Source organism: Homo sapiens, chromosome 7 (assembly GCF_000001405.40).
Source record: "Homo sapiens chromosome 7, GRCh38.p14 Primary Assembly".
NCBI classification, from domain to species: domain Eukaryota; kingdom Metazoa; phylum Chordata; class Mammalia; order Primates; family Hominidae; genus Homo; species Homo sapiens.
Window position 1 is genome coordinate 17,523,306 of NC_000007.14, and position 23,741 is coordinate 17,547,046.

Sequence of the window (23,741 nt, forward strand, 5' to 3'; positions counted from 1 at the left end):
TTTAGTTCTTTAAAATAGTTAACATTTTAAATGATAGGCCTAGCCAATAATACATTCTTTGTTCTTATGTTTTCTCAGGTTGATTTGGAAGTTAACCATTCAGTAAAACTGAGCTGCCAAGTTGTAACGAAAGCAAGTCTCGTACAAAATTCTCCCACACTTACAGTTATATAAACATTCATTAACAAGCAGGCAAAAAACAACCTGTACTGTAGTTTCACTGAAATGCCAGCATTGTCCTTTTAAGTGATCAGCCGCCCCACCAACATAAAAAAATAACTGAAACCAATTATGACAGCCTTCCAGAAGCAGGGCCTAGTACCCTGATAGTTAGCTCCAGACAACTTGAAAAATTCATAAATCAATGGGTGGCCACAGGACCATTTAGGGATCAAGCCTTGGGCACTATTTTAAGGGTATGGTAAGGCCTCACTGGTTTCTTATTCCATTGGCATATAAATATGCAGAATGTCTCTAACATGTTTTTAAAGAAATCATTTCTCCTGAAAACTTAAAATTTTGCCAAGCAGTGAAATTATCCTAATTTATAAGTCACCCACTTCACCAATACAAGCAAATTTCTGCTCAATCTGCTAATTTCCATACGGATTGCTAATTGAAACACAAAAAACAGAAGCACTTCTGTTAGCCTCCTGTGGAATATGGACTTCCTGATCAGAACTCCAGCTGGCTTTCTTTGGACTTCTGTACTATTGATTAGCACTTGGGTAATTGCTTAACCTAAAGAGATCTGCATAACCTATATAAAGGGAGTTATAAACATTGAATACCAGATGTTTACTCTTCTTCCACATGATTCCTCTTCTTACCCTTGTATTTTCTATGCATTCTGTATTTCTATGGAGATGACTGGAAGTTCCGCACAGTTCTGGCTCTATTCACAGTTCAGGTTACATTCAGCTTAGGTCCATCAACACTTATTTTGGTAAATCACAGCAAATGTCAAATTCTTCAAACCAAAAGAAAATCCCCAGTCTGTACAGAGTGATAATTATTTCTTTTTATGAAAATTTCTTACATACTCTGCTGAAAAAGATTATCCTATTTTTATGTTTTTGATGGTAGTCTAGTGTTTCATAATCTCAAACTTATTTCAACAGCCTTACCTCATTGCTCCCAGAGCCAAACAAGGTCAATGAGTAGTCGTTGGCAAGATACTCTGCATTGTTTACAATGCCGCAGCTATTTGCAATGATACCTGCCCATGTCGCCATCAACCTCAGGCTGCCTGCATCTTTGCCAGCAGCCGTCAGTGGAGAGAGGAACTAGTACTTCAAAGGTCTCAGTACGGCTCATAAAAGAGCAGGGGGTTGACCCAAGCCAAGATGAAGATTGTATATTTGTCAGTTATGTTTGACTATTTTGACAAGCTAATCCATAGAAACTCAAGATAACTGAGAGGAAGTCTACATTTAATAGCCCCAGAGAAGGCTACAGATAAATGTAAAAGAAAACTAAAGATCTCCAGGGGAAAATACTTAGTATCTCCTCCCCATCGTAGAAGAAAAAAGGGAAACAAGCCAATAGTACCACTTATGATTTAAAGAACTGACCACATATAACAAAAATGTTAAATATCCAGGGAACAAAAGTGAAAAACTGAAGGAGGGAAAGAAACCAAGCATTCAAAAGAGATGATGAGTAAGGCGGTGACAAGCTAAAGGCACTGCAAGTCTGGGGCACACTGAGTGTGAGAAGAAACTCTGAAGGGTTTAACAGGAAACCAGGATTTCCAGGAAACTAGAAGCCAGTTGAAAATTGATGCACATTTCAAGCCATTTCAAACAAGAAAAGGGCGAAATTAAATATGGGTTCAAAGGACAATTATACATCCAAAGGCCACTGCCCCAACAACTTGGAAATCCTTATACACCTAGATGAGAGTTCTTTTGCAATTCCTAGATACTAAAATGTTATCCACCCCAGTAGCCAGTACCTGGCTGCAGAGAACGTGAAGCTATTATCAGATTTTATGCTTATACCCAACCTGTTTCAAAAACAATATAAGGTTCCCTACAACAATAAAATATTGCAACATGAGAAGAGAAATAATTCAGGCAAAAAGACAAGGCAGAGCTTATGAAACGAAGCCAAGAAAAAATAACACACAAATCTTTACCAAAACATCTGATAACAGTAGTTCCCAATGTTTTTTAGTATGAGGTCACTTTTTCTAAAATCAGAAATTTTCATAGATCACCCTCAAATGACAATATGCCCCCCACAGCCATGATACCCAACAATTCTATTTACACAAGTAGACATTGATGAAAAATGCAATAAGCTACAATAAATTCAGTTATGTGAAATTGTATTTTATGAATCAGAAGTGTACCGATATGAATAGTAATAAATACGTAAATATTATTTTATTTCATAACAATATTGGAGATCCTTATCAATTCATGGATCTCTGCAAAAACCCTAATGCCCTGATTTAGCCATTCTATTTGTTTTCTAAAAATCTTTGCATCCTGTGTCTTCACAAATACAATGGAAGTTTTAACGGAAATTCAACAGGGAATAAAATGTGCCATTAAGACCTATTTTACAAACTACCACCAAAAGAACTTTTGCTTGGGGTCTGTGGAAAAGGCCCTTTATGTCTTCAATTATCAGTTTCATTATCTTCACAAATAGACAGCCCCCTGCCCAAACCTCCACAGGTACACAGTGACACCCAATTTCATTTAGGTACAGTCATGTGACTGTTAGTCAATGAGATGTACACAGAAATGGGGTGAGCAAATCTCCACAAAGCAAGCGCTGTGTGCTTTGCCTCCACTTTTCTTGCTGGGTAGAATGCAGACAATACTGACAAGGATCATACCCTTGGGCAGCAGAGGAAAATAGCTGGATGGAACCTGGGACTTTGTGAATTAATGGAAATTCTTTATTAAAATTCTGACTATTGAAGTTCTTTTTAGAATAGAACAAACTGTTTTTAAGCCATTCTTAATTTTGTATTTTTGCTGTCACATGCTTTCAGATAGTAATTTCTAGTTAATACTGTCTCTTAACTATCAAAAGTGTTCAGTTCTAATATTCAGTCTTCACTACTCCTAGAAAAATCACATACAATCAGAACGAACTTTACTTCCTGTAACTTTGCAGTCTCATTTCTTGTCCTTGTCATTAGTTCTTTCTCTCCTTTCCCTGAAACCTTAGACACTAACTCTGATACCACCTTGCGGGTCTCATCTTGATTATGCCTTACGGTAATTTGGGCTTAGCTTTCCAGATCTCGTATATAATTGATGTGTGCGCTGGGATTTGTTTTCAATAGAACTGGGTTATTTTTCTGTATATTTCCCCCATTTTTTTTCTTGGTTTTTACCTTTGTTTTACTGGAGCAAATCTTCAGGTAACCTCCTTACAGAAGTACATAAGAGAAAGTTTCTGAAAGTCTGAAAATAGCTATATTTTACCATCACACTTGATTGCCAAGTGACTAAGCCTAGAATTTTTCTCAGAGCTTCAAATGCATTGTTTCATTGCTTCTCAGATCTTGTATTGTTGGTGAGATGTCTGATGTCAATCTGGTTCATTTTAACATTATGAATCATAAATATGGTTGTGTTCACTACATCCTAATTATAAAGTTTTAAAAAAATTTCTTGTGTTCTGAAATTTCAGATATAAATTTTTTCAGCATCCTGGGAACCCAATGGGCCTAAAGAATTCTGGTGCTTTAGTATTAAAAACTTTTCTTGTATATTTCCATTGCTAACTTCCTCCCACTCCAATTCCCTCTCTTATTTCCCAGAATATTAGGTCAATGTCAAGCTTCTGGGATTGAACCTCTATGTTTATCTTTTTAAAATTTTTTTCTTTTGTCTTTTTTCTCTTGTTCTGATTTTCTTAGTTTCATCTTCGTAACTGTCTGAATTTTTGCAATTGCATCTTCAAGACAAAATATCTTATTTTGTTCTCCATTGTTCTTTTGTACTTTTCTAGTCTTATTTTTCGATGCAATATCCTCTCAAATTTTCAAGCTAATTGCATAACTAGGTTCTTTTAACATTCTCCTTTTTCTGAATTATCTGTTTCTTCTAAAGTAAATGTTCTTGTTTTAGTTATTTTGTGCTGCTGGTTTTATTTATGTTTTTTGTTATCTTTGGCTGTCTTCTTATGAAGAAGAATAGTGGACTGGGTTGATTTTCTAGGATATAAATTATGAGTCCCCTCTGCTGTTATCTTTTATTTCATGGTGAGGTCTTTCAAACAAATATGGGTGGACCTTGTCTACTGGCAGGCTTCATATTGGCGAGGGCAATAAAGGAAAATGAATTTAGGCTGAAGAGGGGACAGAGCCTCCAAATGCAGAGATGAGGGCTTTATTCCCGGAAGACCTAATTTTATATCTGTAGTTCTTGATGTCTTTGGAGAAGAGGCTTTAGATTTATTTTGTTGTTACTCTTTCATCTTTTCTTTTTAAGTGTTAGGCTGCCTAGAAATGCATGAGCTCCACCCGTACTTTTTAATGAGTTTTGATGCAACTATGTAAAAATTGTTATTTTTTGGCTTCTGGAGGGAACAATGTTTAGACACCTTTTAAGTGCACTTAAAAACATTAAGAAGTAAAAATAAACATTTCAAAGAGCTGAACATAAATGTCATCACAGATACTGCCACTAATTTACTGATTATTGATCACAGGAATCCATCCTGAGCCAGAGGAACAGCAGCACATGGTAAAACACAAACAGTCCAAGGTGTACAAAAAAGCCTTCAGAACATCCACCTGCAGACTGAACACCACATGTTATAGTTAGGAGCATATTTGGGGCTTTGCTAGTTACAAAACTCCATTGGGTTTTCATAAATACACTTTATACTCAAAGCCACTGGAGTCAACCATATAATGACAAGATTGTCTGGAACTGAATGTAATTTATTCATATTGTTTGCAAGGGGAAAGTATTGTACTTAAAATAATTATACTTGTAGTTTTAAAGGTGTTTTTGGGTATCACTATATTTCACTCAGAAAGAGTAAAAGCAGAAACAGAAAAATTTTAAATTGGTTTCCTGTATAATATCTATGCATATACACACAAAACTCTGCAAATGTGTTATTTTTACTTTTCTTTTTATTTTTTGAGACAGGGTCTCTTTCTCTCACCCAGGCTGGAATGTGGTGGTGTGATCACTGCTCACTGCAGCCTCAACCTCCTGGGCTCAGGCAATCCTCCCATCTCAACCTCCCAAGTAGCTGAGACCACAAGTGTGTGCCACCACACCCAGCTAATTTTTGTATTTTTTTCGTAGAGACAGAGTTTTGCCACATTGCCCAGGCTAGTCTCGAACTCCTAGGCTCAAGTGATCTGCCCACCTCAGCCTTGCAAAATACTGGGATTACAGGTGTGGACCACTGTGCCTGGCCAAATGTGTTATTTTTAATATAAATCCACTGTTTATTTTAGGATTCCTCACCCCCTGAATTTAATGTGATTCATTTACCTTAGGCAATGACTTATTTGTATTCACTGACAGGCTGCACAGTGGAAAAAGGTCTTCAGAGTGACTAACAAAAGACCACATCCATCTGTCTACCCCAGTATAATACATGTCTCCTAGACATTTTTCTCTATCCCTACAAGTAAGACAGAGGTACAATCCTATGACTACCCTTTCACTCTTTAATTGATCAAATGAGAAACTTTCTCTTCATGGAAGCATTAATGAAGGAAATTCAAACTGAATTCATCATGTCCAACAAACAATCCATCTTTTTAAATTGAGATATAATTCACATACCATAAAATTTGCCCCTTTGAAGGACACAACTCAGTAGTTTTTAAGTATATTCACAACGCTGTGCAATCATCACCATTATCTAATTCCAGAATGTTTTCATCACCCCCAAAAGTCACTCCCATATCTATTAGCAGTCACCTCCTAATCTCCTTTCCCACTCCCCAGACCGCCCCATCCCTGTCAGCCATCTCTGTCTCTATTGACTTGCCTAGTCTGGAAAGTTCATCTCAATAGAATCATATAATATGTGGTCTTTTTTGATCAGCTTTTTATTTCGCTTAGTGTAATGTTTTCAAGGTCCATCCATGTTGTGGCAAGTATCAGCACCACATTCCTTTTTATTGTCATATAATATTTCCTTATATGGATATACTACCTTTTATTTATCCATTCATTTGTTGATGGATACTTGGGTTTTTTCCATCTTTTGGTTACTATGAATGATGTTGCTTTAAACATTTGTGCGCAAGTTTTTGTGTGGACATATGTTTTTTTTAATTTCCCTTGGGTATATGCCACCTAGGAGTTAAATTGCTGGGCCATGTGGTAATTCTATCTTTAACTTTAAGAAAAATTTTTAAAGCACATTTAAAACTTTTTACTGTATATACTGAGTGGAATAATTTTTTGAGCAACATTACCAAAGAGAAAAAAATGTTCCAAACATAAATAAGTCTCATTATGACAGAACTTTGTAAAAGATGCTGTTTACTTTGTTTTTTTTTTTCAATCTGGACAACAGAATTATGACTGTACTATGTATCTATAGGTAATAATACCAGAAAGGCATAGGGCTTTATAAGGAAAAAAGTCAGTAGAAAATGCTTAAATGCTTACTTAGAATCTGAAGATATTACTTTGAAATACCTAAGATTACTCTTAGTATTTGCATATGCTTATTTATCACAAAGTATATACAATGAAGTCTTACAGTCAACTTTCAATTCTTCCTCACACAATATGTAGTACTTATTCTAGAATAACTACAAGTATAGTCTGTCCTTGTCTGAATTTTTTTTTTCTTCTAGGTTCTGCTGATAATTCTCAGTATTTTATGTCTTTCTTGTCCTGAGCCATGTTTCACTGACAAATAACATTTCCAGAGACTTTATTCTCTGTGTCTTTCAATTGCTTAGATTTCACTTTAAATACCAGAAGTTTCTAGAGAGGATTCTTTTTCTCATTAGGCCTACAAAATTCTTGCTAACATAAGAAAGGCTGTTCACACTCTGTTAACATGGCGCTGGAGCTGTGTAAATTCCTTTTTGTTGAGCATTCTTCTTTCAGTGGGTCTCAGTCTTGGCCATTCTGTGATGAAATGCTGTTTTAGCCTCTTGGTGAGAAGACTGACGTACAGAATGTGAGCCCAGCTGGAAACATCCTTCACAGTACTGAAATACAAGTGCCAAGTCCAAGTACTTTCTGGGTAACATCACCTACCCTCCCTGGCTGTGAAAGCTCAGAGATAAGAGTTTCTAGCTGATCATTTTGCAGTGGATTTTCCTTCCTTAAAAGGAAGGATTTTTTTTCTAAAGAAAAAATCTTTTCTGATTTTTTTCTAAAGAATCAAAATTTATAGTTTAAAAAAAAAAAGTACAGAGGAAAAAAATTTAAATACTTTTGGAATTGAATGTTTCCCAATCATTTTTTTAAATGTTGTCTTCACTTTTTTTCTTCTTTAACTACCAATGCCCATGTAATTTTTTTTCTTTCATGAGGCATCAGTATTCCTTGCCTAAAGACAGTGTGTCTAATGAGTGACTAGAATCAGGTAAAGAAGAAACTTCTCCTGTCTTGAAGGAGGCGTGTCTGTTGGGGAGGAGAAAGGAGTTTTCCTTGCTTGCTATACACTGAAGACTGTTCCCTTGCCAAGTATACTTTCATCGTCTTAGATAAATCGTAATTGCAAAATCGAAGGAGAATTTGCAGACTTTACTGTGAATGACCTTGTTGCTGCTATTCTGTGGTGTCAATGTAACAACATAGACAGACTTTACAAAATATCATTTTTTACTTTACTTTTTTACCCCTGTAGGCTTTACAAAATATCATTTTTTTACTCTACTTTTTTGCCCCCGTTATCAAACCAAGGGTAAAGGAGTCATTTACTTTGGTGACACCTACAGGCACATTCAGATAAAAACATTCTCAACCCTCCTTTGTAACCAAAACACTCTCATTGGTCCAGTCAGGAACCCCTGTGTGGATTCTGAATGGTAGTTAGTGGACATCATCTCAGATTCATTTGAGTCTTAAAATACATCAGTTTGTCTCCAAAAGTCATCTTCAAATGTTGAGAAATTTTCATTTGGCTATTTGGGTTTGATGCTGAACTACAACAATGTAAATGTCTTCAGCTGGCCTATGCCTCATTCCACCAGCATAAATGTTGCCTTTTACAGGCCATGACTGGATGAGCAGAAACTGCTGAAGTCTCTCTCACCAAAATCTCTCTCACACACGCCCCCCTGCTACCATCATACTTCCTGGGCTATAGAAGCTGAACCTGTTCCAAGATGTAACAATTAGATAAAATGATGAACTCCTCAAAAGTGGCCCGGATTCCCAGTGTTGGAAGACTATAGAAGACCACTGGGATTGAGTAACCTTGAAAGAAGTTCACTCAGACAAGCTGTTCGCACATCTGAGTGATCCCAGTGCAAGTCAAACTGTGGGGTGGCAGGTATAACAACAACAGGCAAAAAGAGCAGAAGGAAATGGGTTCACCAGAAAGTGCAACTCCTGCAGCAAGGAAATGACCAGGAAACCCACGATAGTGCCCTATTAAAGAAAGAGCCTGCCATGACAGAGAGCCCATGACAGCCAAGTAAGCTCTACAAACAGTACCAGCTAAGTACATGAGACTCTTTTTGCCTTCTAGGTCTTAATAGGTCTTAATCCTCTGTCCCATCTAGCCCTGGAAGATCCAGAGGCACATCACCACCATGACATCTTTCATGTCAGAAGGATATGGAACAAGAAAGAGAGGAGAGACTCACCACACCTCTTGCCCAACCTTCTAGGTCAGGCCCAAAAGAAAGGGAAAAGCTTTAAACTTGATATCACAAGTTTAGTTTAGACCAGACTGCGCTTTTAATACCTGAAAAAAATGAAACTGAAAGTGACCATAAAATATCATGAGGAAAAAGGAAGGAATATCTAACAGAGAGGTTTGCAAAAGTGGTAGGAGAAAAATGAAGCTATTTTCTAATTTTATACTGCGGAGTCTAGCCCATTAGGTTGTTGATCCAGTTGGGATTTTACTTTCTAATATCTTTTTAGTGAACAAAGCAGGTAATATTAGGCATTGCTCAAGTGAAAAATATATTGCGGGGGGGAGGATTTTTTTGTCCATGTTCAAAATTCAGGAAAATATCATAAAGGGTATATCTATATTAAAGTCTATTTACCTTGCTTATTTATAGTTGCAAATTTACATAAACCCCATTTAAAATTTTCTTCCACATCATGTAGAATTTTGCCTCTGTTCAATGAGGACGGCAAACTGCAGGGACGTCTTCTATGGACTCTTATTTTGCCCCCTTCAACCTGACTTTTGATCCTCCAACTTCTCCTTGCTCAGAAGCGAGGTTTTCAATGTTTGACCCAGTAAAATTTAGTATCAGTAGTCTGAAGCATCTGCTTCTGTGAAGGCTAATTTATCTTTGCTGAAGACCTCATGAGTTTCTTATCCCTGACCCTCATGAGGAAGTTCCCATGGTCAGAACGCACTACTGTGTCTCCAAATGGCTTTCCTAGGAGACTGTCTTGCTTGCTGATTTACACTGATCAGACATGAGGATTCTGAAACTTCACAAATATTTATCAAAAGGATTTACAGATGCTTAGTTTTTATAGCTGCTTGTTGATGCAACTGCCACATCAGCTGCCTAAAAAATAAAATGGGTTACTCATCAGACAGGGACATAAATGATGAAACACAAAAGGCCCACTAATAAATTATACAACCTCCTGTGGACCATGGCACAATGAAGGCAAGGATCCAAGAAAAGGTTTCTTGAATTGTTTTTTGTCCCTGGCAGGGTGAATTAGGTTGTTCAGGTAAGAGTCATGAATACAAGAATAGGGAGGGAGTGCTTTCAAGAACTGATTTATTGATAGGAAGGACCAGGAAGTGGTGATATTTGTTGCACAAATATCTCCTTCCTTGTTCTTTGCCATACACAAGGACTGACCACACTCCTGAGTCACCCAATAGCTACTGCTTTCTTGTTCGCCTGTCTCCCATCTTTCCAGCTTCTTCCACTATGACTCAGGCAACCCTCCAGATTCAAAGACACAGTGGATGGGGTAGAGCGATTTTTGTGTGTCCTTTTCTCTCTCCTGCATCCCTCTGAGCACATCATTGCCTTACATATCACCACCACAAGACAGGAAAGCCAGGGCCCATCCAGTGCCCACTGAAGGTGGCTGAATATACCTGGAGCACAATTCTGGCCTGGCTGGAAGGTGAAGAGTTAACAACAGGAATAAGCAAATCTGTCCATTCCTGAGCATGTCCTTCTCCCATCCTCCCACTCTGTCCTTTACTCCATCCCAACGGTCTTCTTAAAAGGCACCTCTAGGGAAAAATCACTACCAACATCTCTAAACCAACTAAACTCATCAAGAGGGTCATCCTCACACATATTACTGTCTAAGCAACTATCGTGCCTTGGGTAACATGAGCTTAAAGGGAGCTGCAATACAGCATCTTAGGGGTATAATCATTAAAAGAAAAAAATATGTTGTATTACTTCATTTTCTGTTGCTTAGCATATGAAAAACTGGGTAATTTATACAGAAAATGAATTTATTTCTTAGTTATTCCTTACCTGAAAAATCCAAGGTCAAGGGGCCATATCTGGTGAGAACCTTCTTGCTGGTGGGCATTTTCTGAGGAATCCCAAGGCCACACAGGGCATCGCATGGTGAGGGGGCCGAGTGTGCTATCTCAGGGCTCTTTTTCTCTTGTGAAGCCACCAGTTCCATTCCCATGATAACCCATTAAAACCCACTACCCATTAATCCACTAATCCATTCAGGAGGGCCAAGACCTCATGATCCAATTACCTCCCAAAGACCTCATCTCTCAGTTGGAGGTGAGGTAATCACCACTATATTGGAGATTAAATTTCAGCATGAGTTTTGGAAGGGAAACTATTCAAACCATAAAAGGTGTTTATTGGAAAAAGCAGAATTATTAAATCAAAAATAAAATTTGAGAGTAAGCATATAAAATGTTCTCATACAGCAGATACTAGAAACAAAAACAAGAGGAAAATCATTAAGAAAAACAGGTGACGATGTTATTATGAAAAACCAAAGATTGAACAAAATAATAGATTGCCTATCATGTTACATACAGCTGAAGAACTGGAAGATTAAGTAGAAGAAGCTCGCCTTGTCAAAGGTGGCTACAGTGTATTCCCCAAAGTATTGCTTAATCCATCTGAAATAATTTTCTTTTCATTGCAATCCAATGCAATCTCTTCTTTCCAGGAAATCACTTATTTATTCTTGTTATTCAAATCACAGTCAAACTACCTTCACCTCCAATTCACATTATTGAACTGGAAATATAATATACCAGGACCTAGCATCCGCATTCAGACAGAATATTACCTCACAGATTTTAGATTTTGGGTAGGTTGATGGTGGGTGCCTGACTACATTTGTGTAAATAGTGTCAATCCTGGTGATTGTCTCTAATCCAAGATGGTTTTGTCTCCAAAGCTAGCAACATTTTCATTTCTAGGAATTGAAATCACCACTGGTCAACACTCTATCTTTCCCACAAGCCACCCCCCGCCCACACACCTCAGAAAATGGCAGACACATTGCTAAATGAATAAAATATAAGTCCCTTTTCATCTGATACTGTTATATAGAATGAGATTTGACATGTTTAAGGAAACATCTTTGCTAGTGTTAAAGGCTCATTCCTCAAAAATGAAACACAATGGACAGTTTTAAGAGTTTGAAATATTCATTTTTTAAAATATCAGGCACATAAATCAATTTGAACATGTTTGAATTTATATACTCTTTTGGTTTGGAGGGAAATAATTTGTACCAGGACTATGTCCAAGTCCTACATATAGCCTCAATACTGGTTTGAAATGCCTTAACAGGCAGGGTCTCACAACCTCAGCCCCACCACCCAGGTACTGCAGGTGTTGTCACGAGTAGCTGTTGGAATTACAAAAATATTTTTCCGGAAACTACAGAATGTCAAGTTATGCCTTTGAAATTGTGGCATCAGATACAATACATAGCAGGAATTCTCAAATAAAAAATGTCGTATTCATTTCATTCACAGAAGTTTATTAAACACTTCCATGGGCCAGGCACATTTTATATAGGAAACATGCCCATAGTCATTAAAATAATTTATTTGGAAGAAAGATTTTAAAGGAGGAAAATCTCATACTTCAGTTGTTTTAAAATCACAAATATGACAGCACTGGCTTTCAATGCAGTTAATTTTAGTCCCTAATTCACAGATAATGATGGCACCTTAAACATGGAAATGTTTTTCTCCAGAAGAAACTCTGAAATGGACTGGAAAAGTACTGAAATACGTATCTTGTGTAAGCAATTAATAGGAAATGTTGCAAATCAGGATCAGATTTGTGCTGTCCTTTTGCTTTTTACAGTAAAATATAATTTATAATCCATGTATAAAATGCTGCTTTTGCTATGCATGGACAAGTGGATAGAAGAAACTACTCAGTCATGTGATGCTTCTACCAATAAGGCTTTTACAATATGTACATTCTATATCTCAATGATTGATACAATTTTGGAAAGAGAAGAGAGAAAATAAGGATTTAATTAGTCTGTGGGTTGAGTAACATCCAAGGATTAATACCTCTGCTTGAAGAAAGGGATAATTTTCTGATGACATCATTCATTACAACATGCAGGGTATAAAGAGAGGACACTTCAGTCATTAGCCATGCCCTATGAAATGCAGAGACAACTGCTTGCCTCATTTGCTCATCATCAAGTTTTGGCCTTTAAAGATGTTCAAAACTGACTACTTAAGGCATTTAAAATTAAACACTTAGCCTCGACCCCCCTCAGTTGGCTTAAAATCTTAAACTTCTTCTATCTGGCAACTAAAAATATTAAATAAGAAATGTGGCTGGGCATGGTGGCTCAATCCTGTAATCTCAGCACCTTGGGAGGCTGAGGTGGGCAGATCACGAGGTCAAGAGATTGAAACCATCCTGGCCAATGTGGTAAAACCCCATCTCTACTAAAAATATAAAAATAATTAGCTGGGCATGGTGGCACACACCGGTAGTCCCAGCTACTCGGGAGGCTGAGGCAGGAGAATCGCTTGAACCTGGGAAGCGGAGGTTGCAATGAGCCAAGATTGTGCCACTGCTCTCTAGCCTGGCAACAGAGTGAGACTTGGTAAAAAATAAAATAAAATAAATAAAATAAAAAAAAAAAGAAAGAAAGATAGACAGACAGACCAGTTTTTAAAAGGAAAAATGTGGAGACAAATTTAAACCAACTTAACATAATAAACACAACCTAAAGAAATGAAAAGAAACTGAAAGAACAAAAATGAATAAAAATTAAACATATAACAGATATAATAGAGATAATCAAATGCCCAAAGGCTGATTTTTAAAGAATAGAAAATTTTTTAAAATCACATCATCATCTCAATAGATGCAGAAAAAGCATGTGACAAAATCAAGCATTCCTTTAAGATTCAGACCCTCAGCAAAATTGGCATAGAAAAGACATACCTTAAGGTGATAAAAGCCATCTATGACAAACCCACAGCCAACATTACACTGAACATAGAAAAGTTGAAAGCATTCCCCCTGAGAACTGGAACAAGACAAGGATGCCCACTGTCACCACTTCTATTCAACACTGTACTAGAAGTCCTGGCCAGAGCACCCAGACAAGAGAAATAAATAAAGGGCACCCATACTGGTAAAGAAGAAGTCAAACTGTTGCTTTGCTGATGGTATGATCATATACTTAGAAAACCCTAAAATCTCATTCCAAAAGCTCCTATAACTGGTAAATAAATTCAGCAAAGTTTCAGGATGCCAAATTAATGTACGCAAATTGGTAGCTCTGCTATACACAAACAGCGACCAGGCTGAGAATCAAATCAATAACTCAATCCCCTTTAACAATATCTATAAAACATATAAAATACTTAGGAATATACCTAACCAAGGAGGTGAAAGAGTTCTACAAGGAAAACTACAAAACACAGCTGAAAGAAATCATAAGATAACAAAAGCAAATGGAAACACATCCCATGCTCATGGATGGGTAGAATCAATATTGTGAAAATGACCTTACTGCCAAAAGCAATCTACAAATTCAACGCAATTCCCATCAAAATGCCACCATCATTCTTCACAGAACTAGAAAAAAAAATTCTAAAATTCACAGGGAACCAAAAAGAAGCCCAAAGAGTCAAAGTAAGACTAAGCAAAAAGAACAAATCTGGAGGCATCACGTTATCCGACTGCAAACTGTACTATAAGGCTATAGTCACCAAAACAGCATGATACTGTTGTAAAAATAGGCACATAGACCAATGGAACAGAATAGAGAACACAGAAATAATGCCAAATCCTTACAAGGATTTGGCCTTTAAAGATGTTCAAAACTGGCTATTTAAGGCATTTAAAATTAAACACTTAGCCTCGACCCCCCTCAGTTGGCTTAAAATCTTAAACTTCTTCTATCTGGCAACTAAAAATATTAACTAAGAAATGTGGCTGGGTGAGGAGGATCACGCCTGTAATCCCAGCAGGTTGGGAGTAGGGGACTAACTGATCTTCGACAAAGCAAACAAAAACAAAGTGGGGAAATGACACCCTTTTCAACACATGGTGCTGGGATAACTGGCAAGCCACATGTAGTAGAATAAAACTGGATCCTCGTCTCTCACCTTAGACCAAAATCAACTCAAGATGGATCAAAGACTTAAAACTAAGACCTGAAACCATAAAGATTCTAGAAGAAAAAATCATTCTAGATATTGGCTTGGGCAAACCCTTCATGACCAAGAACCCAAAAGCAAATGCAGCAAAAACAAAGATAAATAGATGGGACTTAATTAAACTAAAAAGCTTCTACATAGCCAAGGAAATAATCAGCAGAGTAAACAGACAACCCATGGAGTGGGAGAAAATATTCCCAAACTATGCATACAACAAAGGACTAATAGCCAGAATCTACAAAGAATTCAAACAAATTAGCAAGAAAAAAAACAAGCAATCTCATCAAAAAGTGGGCCAAGAACATGAATAGACAATTCTCAAAAGAAGATATACAAATGGCCAATAAGCATATAGAAAAATGCTCAATATCACTAAGTACTAGGGAAATGCAAATCAAAAGCACAAGGAGGTACTACCTCACTCCTGCAAGAATGGCCATAATTTAAAAATCAAAAACTAATAGATGCTGGTGGGGATGTAGTGAAAGGGGAACATTTTTACACTGTAGGTGGGAATGTAAACTTGTACAATCACTATGAGAAACAGTGTGATTTAAGATTCCTTAAAGATCTAAAAGTAGATATACCATTTGATGCAGGAATCTCACTACTAGGTATCTTCTCAGAGGAAAAGTCACTATACAAAAAAGATACTTGCACACATGTTTATAGCAGCACAATTTGCAATTGCAAAAATATGGAACCAGCCCAAATGCCCATCAACGATGAGTGGATAAAGAAAATGTGGTATATATACACCATGGAATACCACTCAGCCATAAAACGGCATGAAATAATGACATTCACAGCAAGCTGGATGAAATTGGAGACTATTATTTTAGCTTAAGTAATTCAGAAATGGAAAACCAAACATCGTATGTTCTCACTCATAATTAGGAGCTAAGCTATGAGGATGCAAAGGCATAAGAATGATACCATGAACTTTGGGGGACTCGGTGGGGAAAGGGTGGGAGGAGAGGGAAGGATAAAAGACTACACATTGTGTAGAGTGTACAGTGCTTGGGTGACAAGTGGACCAAAATCTCAGAAATCACCACTAAAGAACTTACCCATGTAACCAAACACCACCTGTTCCCCAAAGACTTACCAAAATACAAAAAGATGGCCAGGCACGGTGGCTCACGTCTGTAATCTCAGCACTTTGGGAGGCTGAGGTGGGTGGATCACATGAGGTCAGGAGTTGAAGACAAGCCTGACCAACATGGTGAAACCCCATCTCTACCAAAAATATGAAAAATTAGCTGGGCATGGTGGTGGGCGCCTGTAGTCCCAGCTACTCAGGAGGCCTAGGCAGCAGAATTGCTTGAACCTGGGAGGTGGAGCTTGCAGTGAGCCGAGATCATACCACTGTACTCCAGCCTGGGCGACACAGCGAGACTCTATCTTAAAAAAAAAAAAAAAAGACTAAAAATAAATAAATAAATAAATAAATAATAAAGTTAATGAGGCTGAGAAACCAGAAAAAAAAAAGACAGACTCCAGTAAGATTGAACAAGACGACCAGAGGAAATTCACAAACATTGGAAATGAAACGAGGGACACAGTGGCAAAGATTGAAAGGGTAGTCTGAACAACTTTCTATCACTAAATTTGAAAACTTAGCTAAAATGAATAAATTCTTTAATAATTTAACAAAATCAATTCAAGGAGAAATGCAAAAAGACACTGAAACACACAAGTTAATAAAATGGATCAGTTTATAATAATTCTACAAAAAAACACAAAGACTAAATGACATGACACGCAAGGTCTACCAATCATTTTAAGGTCCATATAATATTAACCCTAGAAACATTAATCGAGAAAGTAGAAGAGCAAGGAATATTTCACAACTTATTTTCTGAATCTAGTAGTAAAAACTTGATCCTAAAACCTGAGAAGGTTTCTAAGTGAAAGGAAAATTACAGTCAAATTCATTCTGAATAGAGATGCACCAAAATGGAATTCTAGCAAACCAAATCTAGTAATAAATACAAAAGGCAAAACATGTTGACTAATTTGGTTTTATCTCAAGAATGGAAAGTTAGTATAATAAAATCAATGATTCAACACATTAACAGGTTATGGGAGAGAAATTACACAATCATTTCAACAGGTACAGAAAAAGTATTAGATGAAATTTAGTACCTATTCATGATTTTTCAAGAAATTCCTGGAAAACTCAGAATAGAAAGGAACCTAATAAAATATTTCTACAGAAGCCTGTGGTAAACATGGTACTTGATGGGAAAATGTGAAAGCATTTCCTTCATAAGAGAATAAACAAGACCAGCATGCCTGCTATTATTCCATAAAAAGCTAACAATTGTACAGTACTGATGCTATGCCAAACAGGGCTCTAAGTGCTTTGCATTTAGGCAATGGATAGAGAATGTGGTGGGGTTCAAGACTCTGACTTAACTTTCTCAGAAATGCAACTAGCAACTAATTTTCTGGTGACTTATGGATACTACTAGCATCTCTAGAAGAGCTGCTTCAAGCGAACACTACCACCCTCCCAAGAATCTCTGCAGTGTAAAGTGAATCTTGTTGTTTATTGTGCGAGATTAGGCAATGCAATATTTCTGATGAAAATTTGAACTCTTTGGAATTAGACTGGCTTCATTTTCTGAAAACAGCAATAGTGATCTACTTTACAGCAGAACACAGAGAAAATCTGTCTGTGTGTGGTCAGTACTTTCTGGTCCTTTAAGGAAAAACAACATACAACACTAAAATGTTGTACCTCCCACTTTACAGTATTTTAAAAAGGATCTCAGAAAAGATCATATGTAAACACAACTGGTTAAATTTAAGATGGTCAAAGGATTGGATATTCTGAATTTTTTTTTTTTTTTTTTTTTTTTTTTTACTGTATCCCACTGCCTGCCTAGCCCCAGAAATACAAGGAACTCAGAAAAGAAAGGGAGGGAAGAAGGAAGGAAAGACTGATTCGATAAGCTAAGGAAAAGTAAAGCAACAACTATTCCTCTTCAATTTTATTTAACCTTTTATAATACTTGATATTTCAGATGCTGGGAAATGTGTCATATTCAGTTTGATTCAATAAATGTGTGTTAAGCACCTACGATTAGGCACCGTGGTAGGCACTGGGTATAGAGATGAAGAAGGCATGAGATATTCCCTGGAGAGATGTGAGGTTAATGGAAATTGGAAGCATGTGTATTTCCCTCCAGGCAACTAAAAAGGTGCTTTGCAGACATCTGAACACAGATCAAGAGACACTTTCAAAAATATGAACACTGCATGTAAAAAGTTGAATACCAAAATGAATTTTCTGTCAGCATCAATACAACAAACCTATTCCTGGCTTATGAAGAGAAAGAAAAAGGATCAGACTCTAATACAAAATAATTTGAAGAATAATTAAAAATATGACTGATTTGAAGAAGAACAGCCTTATCTACATTCACCTGGTCATTTGGGGGGAAGAAATATATGTATATATAATGTACTATTACAGGAGACTGCCTTTTCTAAAAAGTTGGTTGTTTTGTTGTCAATGTCGTTTGAGTTCAGCTGCACATATTGGATTGGTGACATGACCCTGAGCATAGCAATTCAGGCTCTGACCAAACAGAGCTGTCATGACCAAAATGATAATCAATTACCAAGGACATAGTGAAGAGATGTCCACACTGGACTGGCTGCAGGACGTAACAGAGAGGGAATTCTGCGAAGTTAGAAGACTTGTTGGTTCTAAGCCTAAATAATAGCTAAAATGTATAGAGCCCTTATTATATTCCAGGTTGTATGCTAAACCCTTATAGATATTATTTCCTTTTAATCTGATGGTTTAGATTTGGGCCTGAAAAATGCCTATATGTAAACTCAGGCCATACCATTTTGCTTTCTGCTCATCTGCCATGGCAAAGTCTAGCGTTATTGGCATTTAGACTATGTAATTCTTTCTTATGGGGGACTGTCCTGTGCGTTGTAGGATGTTTAGCAGTATATCCCCAGCATCTAGTAGATGCCAGTAGCAGAAAAAAAAAAAAAAGGTTTCAGATGTTACCTAATGTTCTCTGACAGTGAAAATTGTCTCTGGTTGACAATCACTTTAACAGAGGAATACTTATTATCTTGAGAAAATGTCCACAATGAGCTAAAAGATGAAAGGAGAAAGCTCCAAAGCACTATGACAAATAGGCCTGCCCACTCCCCTCCCGGCTCTCTCCTCCTCTCCTACCTAGCACCTCTTTTATACACACATATGCATAGTAACTTTTTTAAAAAGGACTGAAAGGATATTCACCAAAATGTATTAAAATTATTTGGGATGGTAAGATTATAGGTTTGTTTGCATTCATTGATGTTGTTCGAGTTGAACTTGCATTCCTTTTATCATAAAGAACAAAGACAGTAGTCTCTAATAAACATCACTAAATGGGCCTCCAGCATCTACAGAACAGTGTCTACTTCCAAAGCAAAGGATAGTCAATGACTAAGGATTGCAATGTAAATATCGAAATTTTCTAAAAAGAGGGCTCCCCTACCCCACAATACTGAGCGTTCGCTGCAGGGATTAAGGAAGGTTGGCATACATGGAGAATGGATCTTCCCTATTATGCATGTCCCCCTCGCCAAGCCATTGGCCTAGCTGCTCAGGATTGTTTGAAAACTTAGGATTCCAGGTGGAATTCGCCCCTAGTCAATTTGGAACAAGTAAACAGAAAACCAACATTCCTGTGGTACTCTGCTTAACAAATATACTCAACAGGAGTGTTTGTGTGTGAAGAATGTGGAAAGAAAATAAGCAATAGTCACTTAGGAAACATATGGTTCTGAAAAACACAGGAACCATTCCATTTCCCCACATTTACCAGGCCTCAAATGTACACACACACACACACACACACACACACACACACACACACATATATATATTTCCAGAGAAATCTTTAGTTGGTAATAAGGCCATTTGAAGAAGCAGGCCCGAATGAAGGAGGTCCCATTCCTGACTTGCAGGAGATCCTTGGGACTCACAGTTAGACCCGGTAGGATCATGTTACCAATAAGATTTTTCTGTGGCACCTCAAGGTGAAGTTCTTTGAGTATTGAGAATGTGCTGCTAAGAAAGGGAAGCAAAAGAGTGCACAAAGCAGTAGCCAAGGACACAATCAAACTTCGCCTAGTTTCCTATTCTCCACTGCCTGGCCCAAACACTGATATACAGCTAGTTTGGTTGTAAATAAGTCTTTCTCAAAAGGCTCAATCCAAATCAACCATTGTAGCCAGAAACTCTATCTAAATGTAAGTCTTCCAAAATATTTTCCACATATAAAACATTTACTTCAAATATTCAAGTTTCTACTCAAGTCAGCTATAATGAACTGTGATGATGTCTTCCTGAGTAATCTTCAAAACCCAGGATTCTTAAACGACAGGATTAAATCTCTTCCAGTGTTGTTCTTCTAAGGCAAAATGCTTTTGGATTTCTCATTACAGACAACTGTTTTTACTTATAATCCCATGTAAATGTAAAAATACTTTTTATTATCCATGAGGATGTGTGTTTTAGATTCATGTAATTTTTTGAGAGATGCTAGAAGAATATCAAAACTATGATATTTCTCTTAGACCTCATAACCTTGAAAATTCCCAAATGATATTTCTTAAGGTGCTTTGAGAATTACAGACTCCTTAAGGTTAGTCCCTAACAACACACTGGGAAGCTTGCTAGGGGAGCATATGTGTAACTCCTAGTGAAACAGGAAGAAGAAGGATTACTGTGTCTTTGAGCCCACTGCCCCAGGGTAGATTGTCCTACCTTGGGAGGATATGTCTTCTGTTGTGTTTTTCAGGGGAGAAAGTGCAGAGGGATGAAGGAAGAAAGACTGTTGCTGAAAAGATTCAGGAAAGAGAATAGATGTTTTCACAATACCGTTAGAAGTAAGACCGAGTGATTATCAGGGGAGCCAACTTATTCACCTGCTCAATATGGTGATGAACAGAGAGAATGCTCACCTTATCTGCCAAGAAAGCCAACATTTTTCCCTGCCAAGTTTGAAGAGTAGAATTAAACTCATTAAGCTTTTCTAGATCCCACTTGTATCTCATTCTGATTTTTCTTTCTAGCTTAGATAATGTGACTTTAAAAAAAAAATGAACTGTTTTATTAATTTAATGTGACCTTGACAGCTCTGTGTAGATTGGAAAAAGAGCCTAAAGGAAAGCCTAGTTCTGCTCACTCTAAAGAAAACAGTGACTTTAGGAAAGAAGATGGAGTAGTGGGGAAGAGTCAGGTCCCTGGAAGGTTTTACTTTACAGGCTTCTCTGCTCCTTAATTGGATCTGAGCCTTGTAGCCCCTTGAGAACACTGAGGTAGAAATCGGAAGGGTGCTCAGTGGCTTGGACCATGGCATAAAGGAAGAAAAAAAAAAGAAAAGAAAAAAAACACACATATACACAAACATAGATGCCCAGACTAAAAAAGTAGCCAAATAAGAAAGCCACATAAATGTCTAAACCATCCAAATCACAAGATGATCACAAGTCACCACTTCAGGGTTTCCATCTACTACCAAAACAAGCATATGTATGAATCCATTGATAACATATCCTTTGACCCCCTGCTCTGGTAGAGTGTTACATCTTAAGAATTACTTTTAGCTGATGTCTTCTTTCCTCTGCTATAACTTGATATTGTACACTCTCACACTCGCTCTCTCTCTCCCTCTCCAGCTTTTTCAGAACAAAAAAAAAAAACTTTAATTCTGTTATTTAAAAGACTTACAGTTTTGGAAGAGTCTCCAAACCTAGCACTAACCATCAATTCTTGGTTCTTACCATCAGAACCATCCTCCCCTCTAAAGTGGCAGTAGCCCTGGCCAACTTTGCCTATCAGTGCTGCCTCCATAGAATTCTGCCTTGATGCGGGCACACCATGTATGTGTCTGTTTCAGCAACAAGAATTCATTTAATCAGAAAGTTTGAAAAGTTGAATATTCTAGTTAACTTTCTGAGAAACGATTTCAAACCTATAAAGTTATGTTTCTTCAAAACATACTACTTTCTGGCTGCAATTTGAGGATAACAAATTTGCCTAGGTTTCTGTAAGTGATAAGAATCTAGCAAGAATCTAAATAGATGTCAGGCTTTACGGGTTAAGTGGTATTTAACTACATTGCCTTGCTTCTCTGTAAATGGAGATCATCAGTATTTTAAGATTAAATGAGATGTATGCCATGTCCTGGTGCAGGATCTGAAATCTAGTAGGTACTCAATATATATTACTTTATGTTAACTTAGTTCTTCCTTTGTATTTAACTCTAATTTCTTTTCTACTTTTTCTCTTTAGGGTTAAAGGCAGCTCCATTTACAGAGTATGACTCTTATCTGGATGGGATTTGGGCTGTCTTCTATCTTATCCTTCATGTGGTTTATTTTTTGTTATGGAATCTTTTAATGTCAGATGTTGCTAGGCAATCTTTTCTGGCTTGATTAATTTAGTTCTAGTACAAACAAAAATATATCCAAATCTCCACTAATGTTGTTTCTCTTCCAAAATAAATATGTTCTACTTTTGTGTCAAATGGCTTTTATGATGTGGTTCCAGACCTTCACAGGGCTGTGGGTGATCATAAACTTAGTAGTTTAACTATTTCACCATTCATTGTTAATATAAATCCATGGAGAACAAATAATAAGAAGTGATGAAGTACTGCTAAAATAAACCCTCCATATTAATTGGATAGGAAAGCACATGAGTTTCAAATTGTAAGCAGACAAAAAAAGAGGTGTGATTTCGTTTTGGAATTCATTCTGAATCTATATAGTATGGGGAAAATGTGACCTTTAATTTCCAAGGAAACTCTGATATGCCATAAGGTGGGCAGCACATAGTAACAGGTTCCTACAATTATTTAGGTGAATAATCTTGAGGTCTGAAAAATCTACACAACTTTTAAAAGTTAGCAAAGGAAAGCCTGAACTGCTTTAAATTACTATTCACCAAAGGGAAACTAAAATATTCTGGCTTAAAAATTCCGGCTAAGAGTGTTGGCTTTAGATCTTTTAATATTTAATTTTGAAATGTTTTCTGATTTTCTGGTTCCTGATATCTAATTTTATTTGTACAGGCTGTGGAATATTGCCAGGATCATTGCTTTTGGTATTTAAAAAAAAAAAAAAAAGAACACTATTCAAGGGAACAGCATTCAGAACAATCTTCTCTTATCCAAGGCTAATTTCCAGAGTAGCTTTCTGTAAGATTGTACCGTATTTTAGAGCTACATTAAAATGTCAGAGGACTCTATGGACTGTTTGATGCTGATGGAGTTACACTTTCAGAAATACTCACTGTGCTGGACAGAAGAGCCACAGCGCTGAGAACTACACTGCTTTTGTTATTAACAGGAGTGTAAGAGGGGAATTCAGTAAAAAGGGCTAGCATCCAAGTTCACAGTGGATCTTTTCTTCCATTGAAATTATGGATTATAATCAATGGCTTAGAAGGAACGAGGTTGGTGAATCTCACAGAAGAGTTTTTGAGATACTTTTATTACACAAAAAAGCTTTTGAATGAGGCAATAAGCCTTCAAATGGAATGGCCTCCCTCAGATATTTTACTCATTTCCAGTTAGTCCTCAAAAATGAACAATGCTTCTAACTGAACAATCACAGTATTTCAACACACCCAAGGCAAACTGGGGAGGAAGAGCTGAATTATGATGAAAGCCTGTACTATTGTGACCTTTCCCATGACCATAATTGATGGATGTGCCCCTGAAACACTTTGCAGAGCTGTTGATATATTTAGAAGTGTGCCTGTGACTCATTATGCTCATAGTATGGCAATAAATGACTATGAAGGCCAACTCAGTGCCCAAGGATATGGTTCTTTCATGTAGAATCATCGTCTGTAGAATATACAGTTGGGTCCTTTTGGGAATTGTGCAAGCTAGGCTCAGAGCTCTGTAAGCCCAGCTTTATTTTTTATCAGAATC

At 37.1% G+C, this 23,741-nt stretch overlaps 1 long non-coding RNA gene across 1 annotated transcript in view, besides 1 other annotated feature; it reads right to left on the reverse strand.

Moving 5' to 3' along the window:
• The window catches only part of LINC02889 (long intergenic non-protein coding RNA 2889), a 95,465-nt gene that overhangs the window by 59,861 nt on the left and 11,863 nt on the right, over positions 1 to 23,741 (reverse strand). The gene's annotated exons all lie outside the window — the stretch shown is intronic.
• Positions 23,340 to 23,634: a silencer, noted in NCBI's record as "tiled region #7324; HepG2 Repressive non-DNase unmatched - State 23:Low, and K562 Repressive non-DNase unmatched - State 24:Quies". NCBI's record gives its function as "represses a minimal TATA promoter and a strong SV40 promoter by Sharpr-MPRA in HepG2 and K562 cells {active_cell/tissue: HepG2 | K562}" and the evidence as "EXISTENCE:reporter gene assay evidence [ECO:0000049][PMID:27701403]".